We start from the raw sequence: 11,129 nt of genomic DNA on the forward strand, positions 1-11,129 counted from the left end.
AACTGTACTTAAAAAGGAGGGATTCTATACAAGGAAGAATGTAAGTTTCGTATATAGGAAATTTTAAAAAAAATCAGGTTTAGCTGCTGATTTCTGAACTACATTTTCTTAAATGAATAATTTCTGAAATTAATGACATGTAATTTAAAGAAATGTGTGTTCTGTCATTTTGGCTTGAAGAATTGACCACTGGGTAGCATTATCAATTTTATGTAGGTACTAGTATTGTATGTCTGGAGGCTTTTATGTAAAATTTTAATTTCTGAAGAGTCATTCCAAGTATTCTCAAAAGAAAATACAAAGTTTTACATAATTCATGGAACATTTTTATTTGCATACGTCATTTTATTAAAGCATGGGTAGGTTTTTTTTAAATCTTTTTTCCTCCTTCTTTTTGCTAAATAATAAGACATGGATTTTTTCCCCCTAGATGAGACTGAAACGTTTCAGTAAGATTCTATTGGATAAATCTGTCTATTTCTGAATCTCAATTATGGACCAAGGTCAATCTGACAACGATACACTTTAGTCAGATGCAAATTGAGAAATATAGCCAAGTACTTGTTTTAAACACCTTGAAAAAAGTTAAAACATGTTTATAATATTTTAGGATGCTTGTAAAGGCAAACTTCATAGAAAAAAGAGAGGCCTTAGAGGCCAAATACCAAGAATAGAACTTACTGCTGACTCAGTAAATAAAGAATATTTTGTGTTAGTAGTAAACTCATTATAAACATACGAGTTATGGCCGTGCCAATACTGCCAACATCAATATATGCTAAGCACTTTTTATGTGCAGGCATTGTTCCAAACAAGTTGTACTCTTCATTTTTTATCTTTCTTTTACCCACTCAAGAAATAGAACCAAAAGAAGAAGGGAATAAGGAGAGGAAATTTAATAAATATACAAAAGATATTAAAAGCCAATTCTCTCTCTCTTACTGCACACATGCCGAGACCAGCTCGGTCGGGGAGACCCTAACCCAGTGGCACTAGAGGAATTAAAGACACACACACAGAAATATAGAGGTGTGAAGTGGGAAATCAGGGGTCTCACAGCCTTCAGAGCTGAGAGTCCCGAACAGAGATTTACCCACATATTTATTAACAACAAGCCAGTCATTACCACTGTTTCTATAGATATTAAATTAACTAAAAGTATCCCTTATGGGAAATGAAGGGATGGGCCGAATTAAAAGAATAGGTTGGGCTAGTTAACTGCAGCACGAGCATGTCCTTAAGGCACAGATCACTCATGTTATTGTTTGTGGCTTAAGAATGCCTATAAGTGGTTTCCTGTTCTGGGCGGGCCAGTGTTTCTTGCCCTCATTCCGGTAAACCCACAACCTTCCAGTGTGGGCGTTATGGCCATCATGAACATGTCACAATGCTGCAGAGATTTTGTTTATGGCCAGTTTTGGGGCCAGTTTATGGCCAGATTTTGGGGGGCTTGTTCCCAACACACACACACACACACACACACCCCTTTATCACTCTTTCCACATAGTGTATGTGTGCGTATGTACTTTACAGATCAAATTTCCTCTCCTTTTCCATGCACATGGTCAGTTTTCAATTCATTTGTGTAAAATCTCCCAGAGTGAGCCCATGATCTGCCATTCTAAATTCCAAATGCTGTAAGAGATGAAAAGGCTCTGGTTGTACTTGATTCATGTGGCCAGCACTAACACTGCTCTATGTAGAAAATGGGAACAGCCTCATAATTTGGAAATACAGCTACTAAGAACTCAATAATATGGTTTTGAGATTGATTTTTTTTTTAAATTAGAGTTGGTCATGATGACTTACAAATACACTTTCAATATTCTTGTCACATATAGAAAGGATTACAGATAAGCCCTAAGCCTAGTCCTGTGGCCCTTTTTCCCTTCTGAATAATATTATCTTGGTAATGCAGACTTAGTGATGGTTGAAGTATTTCAGATGGATCTGTATTTATATTAGGAGACAGCAGAGCATGGTGTGTGTAACAAGGGATTTGAAGCCAGGTATATCTGCATTTAAGTGTATGCTGTGTTTTGCAATTGTTCTGTGGTCATGGCCAAATTATTTGCTGTTAATTTTCAGTTTCCTCAGTAACAAAAATAGGGGTAATAACATTAGTTGTATTGTAGATTTCTTGAGTGGGTAACAAAAAAGATAAAGATTACAACTTGTTTGGCACAATGCCTGCACATAGAAAATGCTTATTATATATTGATGTTGGTTGAATTGGCAGAGGTAGAAATGATGGTAGAGTAGTAGTTGGTAGAAGCATTAATCTATCGGGTAAGTGAAAGGGACAAGGCAACTCTCAATAAGATTTGGCACCTGATTTGGGTATTTAACTCATAGCAGGACATGTGTCAAGTATTCTGAGCAAGATATATAACAGAGTGGAAAGAAGCATTAGATCAATAAGGAATACCAGAAAATAGGTGATATACTAGCTTTTTTTATTGTTGCTATAATGCATTACCATTAGTGTAGTGGCTTATAAAACACAGATTTATTATTTTACTGTTATAGAAGTCAGAATTCTGAAATGGTCTCACTGGTCCGCATTCATTCTTGAGGCTCTGGGGAGAATCTGTTTCCTGCCATTCACAGCTGCTATAGGCTGTGCACATACCTTGGCTCATGGCCCCCTTCCAGACTCTCCTGTCTTCCTCTTTATCTTTTAAGGCCTCCTGTAATTATGTTGTGCCCACCAGATAATCCAGAATTATCTTCACATAACAAGGTCAACTGATTAGCAACCGTAATTCCATCTAGAATCTTAATTCTGCCTTTCATGTAACATAAAATGTTCAGAAATTAGGAGAATAAAGATGTGGACATCTTTGGAGGTGGTAGAGGGCATTATTCTGCCAACCACAAGTAAGTACACTAGTTTGAAAATATTTTATAAGTAAGATTTTATAAACTTTGTATTTAGGGCAAGAAAGGGGATAGAAATACACATGAATGAGTTACTTTGACTATTAAGGCAAAATAACTGATTGGTTTTTCTTCTCAAGATATAGACTGATGGCTGGTTCATTCCTACCCATTAATAAGAAATTAACCATCTGCAACAGAGTCCTTTCAAATAATTGTGTCATTTATAATCATGTGGAATAATTGAAATATTGGGACACACTAAAAGACAGATTGAATGAATAATTAGATGATGATAAAGAAAAGCAAGGTTAAACATTACTTTAAATTTTTTAATCATTGAGGACAAATATATATCTGAACAAGAGTCCAAATAAATTATTTTATCTGGAAAAGTGGCCATCCTGTTAAGTTATTTCACTACGAATTTTCAATAACGACTTGCTTTTTTGATTCTGAATATATAAAAGCTATTTAATTTTGCCATCTGTTCTCAGAATGATTACATATAAATTAATTGTGGGTAATAATTTTTAGAATGCATTGAATGCCAAGATACTCAAAATGTTCCAAAGGGAGAATTTATTTAATTTCATTTTCCAAAGTAATAAAGCAAACTTCTTTAAAAAGTGAAATAATGATACAGTCTTTGCTACTTTAATGTAATTTTCATTTTTTCCTTTTTTCAAGATTTTGGAGGAAATCGTATCCAAAATTTTGCCCAAATTCCTCACACTGTTAGTAGGTTTTTGCTTAAGTAGGAATTCATTTATGACTTTTATCTACTCTCATGTTTGCCACCTTTTAGCACTAAAAATTAACATTGAAATAATAAATCCTAACTCTTCTAAAGTTGTCAGCATAGGTAAAAATAATGTTGCAATAGTAAGATAGAAAACAAGTCATTTGTTTATAGGTAGGTATTTTTTAAAAGATGTAAATAGCTGACAGAGAAGCCTGAAGTACCTCAAGAGAAGAAACAAAACAAAATTAAACAATGACAAAAAATTTAACTAGGAATTATTAAGCAGCTGTCACATGCTTGGAACTCTCATAAGTGGTTTAACAGAACAAACGAGGTTCTAGTTCTCATAGAACATAGGCTCTAGTGCATGAAAGCAGGTAATATAAAATAAATAAAAAACACAGTACTGTCAGGTACGTTGGCTCACGCCTGTAATCCCAGCACTTTGGGAGGCCGAGGCAGGTGGATCACCTGAGGTCAGGAGTTTGAGACCAGCCTGGCCAACATAGTGAAACTCTGTCTCTACTAAAAATACAAAAGATCAGCTGGGCGTGGTTGTGGGCGCCTGTAATCCCAGCTACTCAGGAGGCTGAGGCAGGAGTATCGCTTGATCCTGGGAGGTGGAGGTTTCACTGAGCTGAGATCATGCCATTGTCTTCCAGCCTAGGAAAAAAAGAGCAATATTCTGTCTCAAAAAAAAAAAAAAGAAAGAAAAAAACTGTACTGATAAATGGCACATGGATAATTGTAATGTGTTTTTTTAAAGAGGTCAGGGAGTTCACTTTAGATTGGATGGGTTAGGAAAGCTGCTCTAGAGTTGACAAATCAGCTGACTGATAATGACAGGAAGGATAGAAATATAAAGATTCTGAAAAACTGGTAACAGCCTCCCTACTAAGTTATATTTTTCTCTACTACAACATTTTCTATTCTTTTATTATAAAATTGATGAATTAATATATCATTTCTTCAACATTTCTCTTTACGCTTATTGTTTTATTGCTACATCATTGAACATCTAATTTTCTTATTTTTTAATTTGCGATAAATGTTTATTTCATTATAAACTATGCCTATCTTTCTGAGACTTTTCTCATAGAATAAATATATTCAGCTTTCTATTTTTTTCTGAGATTTAAAAAGTTATTGGTATACTTGTTTAAAAAAAATGCCAAATTCTTTCATATTTATTTGTTCTGTTGATGTTACCTGGTTCTTTTCTCAATTTTTTATTATCTTGTCTTAAATTTCAGAAGATATAAAATGTCTCTGAAGTATTATTTTGCTCAATGCTATAATTCATATGCATCCCTTATGTATGTGGGTATGTGCCTGTATACATGAGTCTGTGCTTTTCACATCTATATTTCGAATTGTAGGTTTTCCTCAAATGTATTCTAATCCATATATGCATACTAATGAGCCACCAAAGCTGATTTAAAGCTTTCTGTTCAAAGGAAACATTTCTTATCTGATGGGCTTCATTGCAGAATAAGTAATTACTTTTTGTTTGTTTATTTCATCTTGTTTTTGCATGGTTCCCCTATTGGTCTTTACTGTGAGTTAATTCAAGTTCTTTAAGATCCTCTTATGCCCTGTTTGGATAATCAAAGTCTAACTTTAGATATTCTGGAAATCAGCCAGTGAAGAAAGCTATGGATTTCAGTATTCACTTGTCACACTTTCAAATGATACTCGTATTTTTTATATAACCATGTGAACCACACAACCCCTTCTTTGACTATTATTTCTGAGACCAGAACCCCTATTATTCAGTTTCTAAAGGTAATGAACTGTTGATCTTATGTGAAGCTTATGAAACCGAGATGCCACATTGCAGGGTTTTGAATAGTGTCTTAGAGAACTTGGGGAACAAGATTTTTATACTAATTATTGCACTCTCCTGGCTGTGTTGAGTGTCCCACCTTGCATGTATGTTCTGCAACATCAGGTTATATGCCTTTGCTTATTTCACACTTTTACAGTCTCCCCAATATCTGCACCTCCTAATATCTGTATCATTTTTAGAGATCTCCACAGTATCTGGCTCTCCTAATATCTACATTGCTTCTACAGTAATGAATTATAAGTTACAGTACAAGAACTATTTAAATTTGCTACCATCAAATCTCCAAGTTTGGTCACATCTGTATTAATTCATGACTTTTCCTCTATTGCAATTAAGACGTTGTCCCTCTTCCTCCCTCAGGCCAACTTTGTGCTTGTACTCTAAATGTCAGTCTCTTCCACTTTTTTGGAACCTTAGTGTTACTTGATGCTGTCTCTTCTTTATTTTGAGAGTTTTTCAGCCTACTCTCTTCATTTCACATTACAATACCTCAATGTCACCATATATTAAAATAAAAAATTCCTTGATTCCACAAATTATTTTACACCTCTTTTTATCTGTCTTTCATTATTTTTTTTCCAAAGTGCAATCAACATTCAATCCTTTTGTTTTTTCACCTCCCAGATGAACATTGACCATAGGATTTCTTAATGTGAGTTTAATCTTCACTATCGGCAGAGTGCTCTCCTAGCAATGCCATTGTTTCTTTGAATTATATTTTTCATTTTACTGTAATCTTAGATCATCTTTCTTATTTTCTGAGAATTTGATACAGTTGTCAGGAGCTCAGCTAAGTTGGAGAGAGCTGAACTGCCAGGTGTCAGAATAGCCAATTAATATAACAAGCCAAAATCAAAGTAACAGCCAAGGCTTTAGTGACTTACTGCGATTGTATAAGCAAGATGCTAAACAGTCTGTCTCCTTTCTGGTTCATGATGAACCCCAAGGAATAAAACGTTGAGGATCAAGTGGATCAGCAAATATATGGAGGTCATCTCACTGTCAAGGGAGAATGGAACAAAAAAACTCCTGCAATTCTGTGAACCCAGAGGATGGGGAGAAATTAATGAGAAGGGCTGGGAGTGAAATACTGGGTCCGAGGGAAGAAAAAGCATCAAGGCCACCCTCCCTCTGATAAGGGGGTTTTAGTTTCTGTTGAAGGCCCCCTATAAAAAGGCCTCTGGACGAAAGCATCTGGGCTAGGATGCACGTGTAAGGACAAATTTCGGCACAGGGGTCCAAGTCCTTGATTGCAACTCCCTGCAGCCCACAGTGCCTTGGCTGGGCAACAACGCTGATGTGGGAAAAACAGCTTCCCCAGTGAGGTCTGTTGGGTAAAAGCCTTTCCAATTTTCTATGGTCGGGCTTAAAAAGATCACATATAGGTTTCTAACAAGAGCCACACTCCTCAGTGCTTATTCCTGAAATACTTGGTTTCTGAACTTTCCATTATAACATAAATCTCTTAAGAGATTATGCTGTGTAGTCTAATGGTAAAAAGTAAGAACTCTGAAATTTGGCTGCTTGGGTTCAAAGACCAGCTCTATCTTTTGTTAGCTTGTAACTCTGGGGAAATTGTATATTTCTCTGTACCTTGGTTTCCTCATCTGTAACCTGGGGAAAATAGCCATGTAAGAATTGAATTAATTTAGTGTAGATGTTTTACAATATGTTAGGGAACCTGTTATTATATTAACCTGAACACACTCCTCAGATTTTCAAACTCCTAAACTTATATTTTCAGGCTTTGCAAGGTATGAAAAGGGTGGTTTAAAGGCTTTTCATGTATTTCTTATTTGGTTTTAAACACATGTGCCATGTTAATTTAAGGAATATTTCAACTGATATCCTAAAAAGTAGTTTTAAATTTAATAATACAACTTTATTATTCCCTTATTTCATGTTTTACCCTGAGTTTTAAGAAATAATTTTTCCTTGGAAATTTCATGGAGGCATGATTTCCATGCCAGTAAGTTTGTAAGAGATAGGCTTAGACAGATTTAGGTAAATGATTAAAGGTCAGTTTGTGAATAGGATACTCTTATTTACATGTCTAAAGTTTAATGAGTTTTTCTCCATGAAGAATATTCAGAAATCTCTTTCCATTTTAATACTATGGTATCGGAGGAAACTTAGGAGTAAATGATATAGTAAACTATTTCCCCATTTGTAGAGTCTCCACCTCTGTCTTTTTACAGATACTATTCCCTCACTTCTGAAACAGGAAGGAAAACAAATATAAAAGTTATGGTGAAACATGGCTGTTGTAGACTGAATGTTTTAGACATCTCAAAATTCATACATTGAAACCTAATTCCCAATGTGACAGTATCAGGAGATGTGGCCCTTGGGAGATGATTAGGTCATGAATGGGATTGGTACCCTTATAAAAGGGGACCCACCCTATTATAAGCTTCCTCACCCAGTCTGCCATGTAAGGACGCAGCAAAATCTGGCCATCTACGAACCAAGAAGTAGGCCCTCCGCAGACACAAAATTTGCCAGGATCTTGAGCTTCCCAGGCTCCAGAATCGAAAGAAATAGGTTTATGTTGTTTATAAACCACTCAGTGCATGGCAATTCGCTATAGAAGCCCATTGGACTAGGACAACTGACCAACATTTCTGGAGCAAATGAAGATGGTTTCATTTAGTTTACTTATACATTACAGCATAAATTTCTCGTATTTTAGAAAACCTTAACCTTTAAAAAGATTTTTGCACAGTATGTCTAATTTGATTCTTACCTTTATGCCTCCCCATAACCAGGGCTCCACAGACTTCTTAGGACATGCAGAATGGTCTGTGCAGTATTGTTAGAAAACAAAGGAAGAAGTAAAATGCTTCTAATACCTTAGAAGCAAGCCATAGTATATTCTTACCAAATAATTTTTATGTTAATTATAAAATTTGGTTGTACATGAAAACTCGCTAAATTATATAGATATATAAAAATTTTCTTAAAGACTTTTTATGTCTATTCATAATAGCAACCTTATTACTATAAGTGCTATGTTAAGAATTATTGCGTTTTGAAAACTAGTCCAATTATTTTTCCTCTACATTATATTCCGATTTAAAAAAATTGCATTGGGAACTGAAAAGAAGAGAATAGGGGGTCTATTCAAGGAAAATATTATTCTTGGAATATGTCTGAGCAAAATCCATGGGGAAAAAAAAAAATATATATATATATATATATATATATATAAAGTTTAGAATATGTATCATTAGAAGTATCATTTCTAACCTACTTTCTGTCTGTCTTTCTGTCTGTTTTTCCTAGTTGAAGACAGACTATTTTGTTTGTTGATGTAAATATGAATTTTTAAATAAAGTGATTTGAAAAATTTACTGTATTGTCTTTTAAAGTAGATTGTCATTTGAAAGTGAGTATTTTCAACAAGCATTTTGACCGAATTATGGATAGAGATATAGATAGGCAGACAAAATTCTACAATCTTTTAACGTAATATCACCGTTTCCCTTCCATCATTGATTAATATAAATAAATTCTGACTGAACAGAACTCTTGGGTATATAACCTTTTCTTGACTTTCATTTGAGTTATGTACACATGAAAGGTGTATAGAAATGATAATAAAATACTTTATTTGCATAACACCTTTGAGCTTAAAGGACACCAAATGCTTTCATAAACACAATTTCATTACTTCTAATGGAAGCAACAAATATTATCATAGAGGAAACAGAGGGAAGATCAGAAAAGCCCCTTATCCACATTATTTCAAGATTTCTTTCATGACTTCTAAATATTATGATTTAACTTATCTCGTTAATTACCCTAATGAAAGAGGAATTCGAGTATATCCTAGAATCTAAGCACATTGTTAGAGGATAAATGGGATCTTTTTTAAAAAAACAAAATAGACCTAAATTGCTTGACTGTGTTGGAAATGAAGTTATTGAAAAAAAGTGTAAGAATTCAAATAGCATATTTTCTAGGCAAAACTCATTATAGTATGTGTTTGGTGTAGTATTCACAATTAAAATAAAAAGCGAAATACATGTTCTATGTTTATTTTTATTCTGGAAGGAAATTGAATGGTTTAAATAGATTAATATTAGCAATTAAAGATATTTTATAATATCTCAAATTTTTTTAGTGGCATTTATATACGTAGATAAAAAAATGTGAAATAATAATTGTCTGTCATGTGAATTTTTTTTAACACTGGAACCACCAGGAAGTAAAGTTGAAAAACTAAAATTTTAAAGCAGGTTGATAGCAGGTTACTAGAGAATAAATGTTACATTCTTCTTTATTACGTTTATTTGGCTATGCCATCAATCAAAGACACTTATATAAGGTTGTGATGATGTCACTTTCAATAACAAGCTTGACAGGAACAATCTTTATACATTGACATGACATCCAATTTAGGTACTCTGATTTTTCAGCCTGTCACTAGAAGAACTTCACATTTCAAAAATTATAGCATTCACCACAGTAAATGCTTTAGTTAAAAGTAAAAGACAACTACCTTCATGTATACTCTTCTGGCATAATCTTATTAAGTACTTATGTTTTGTCACATATGCTTTTGTGCACATACAATTTGGTGAGGCTGTATATAAAAGACTTTTGACCACTTGTGATGATTAATATTGAGTGTCAACTTGATTGGATTGAAAGATGCAAAATGTGTTCCTTGCGGAGCTTGCAGTGAGCCAAGATCGCCCCACTGCACTCCAGCCTGGGCGACAGAGAAAGACTCTATCTCAAAAAAAAAAAAAAAAAAAAAAGTGTGTTCCTTGGTGTGTCTGTGAGGGTGTTGCCAAAGGAGATTAACATTTGAGTCAGTGGACTGGGAGAGGCAGACCCACCCTCCACCCAGGTGGACACCATCTAATCAGCTGCCAGTGTGGCTAGAATAAAGCAGGCAGAAGAACGTGGAAGGATTAAACTTGCTGAGTCTTCTGGCTTTCGTCTTTCTTCTGTGCTAGATGCTTCCTGCCCCTGAACAACAAACTCTAAGTTCTTCAGCTTTTGGACTATTGGACTTACACCAGTGGTTTGCCAGGGCCTCTGAGGTTTTTGGCCAAGACTGAAGACTGCACTGTTGGCTTCCCTACTTTTGAGGTTTTGGGACGCGGACTGATCCACCACTGGCTTCCTTGCTCCTCAACTTGCAGAGGACCTATCGTGGGACCTCACCTTGTGATCGTGTCAGTCAATTCTCCTTAATAAACTCCCTTTCAGATATACATATAACCTATTAGTTCTGTCCTTCTAGAGAACCCTGACTGATACACCACTCAATAGACAAGCAGAACATAGCAAACAGAACAAAGTCTCAAAAACATAATCATCGTATCCTTGGTAAAATAAAAAATTAATTCAAATGGCCAGAAAAAAATGAGAAATTGGATCTGCTAAATCTATGATACTGCTAGAGAATCCATTATTAAATAATACATAGTTTGTATATTATTCCTCCTAACTGAAATTTGTTCCTCTCTTTGATTTCTTTCTTTTATTTTTCCCGTTACAATTTACATTTCTAGGTTTTGTTTTACATTTTTAGTATTTTCATTTATTTAATTTGATTTTTTTCTATATAGAATCATAAACTTTTCATGTGAAATATGCTATATGAATCCTGTAGGTATACATAAATACTAGCTTTTCAAG

This window comes from Homo sapiens, chromosome 21 (assembly GCF_000001405.40).
Source record: "Homo sapiens chromosome 21, GRCh38.p14 Primary Assembly".
Taxonomy (NCBI): domain Eukaryota; kingdom Metazoa; phylum Chordata; class Mammalia; order Primates; family Hominidae; genus Homo; species Homo sapiens.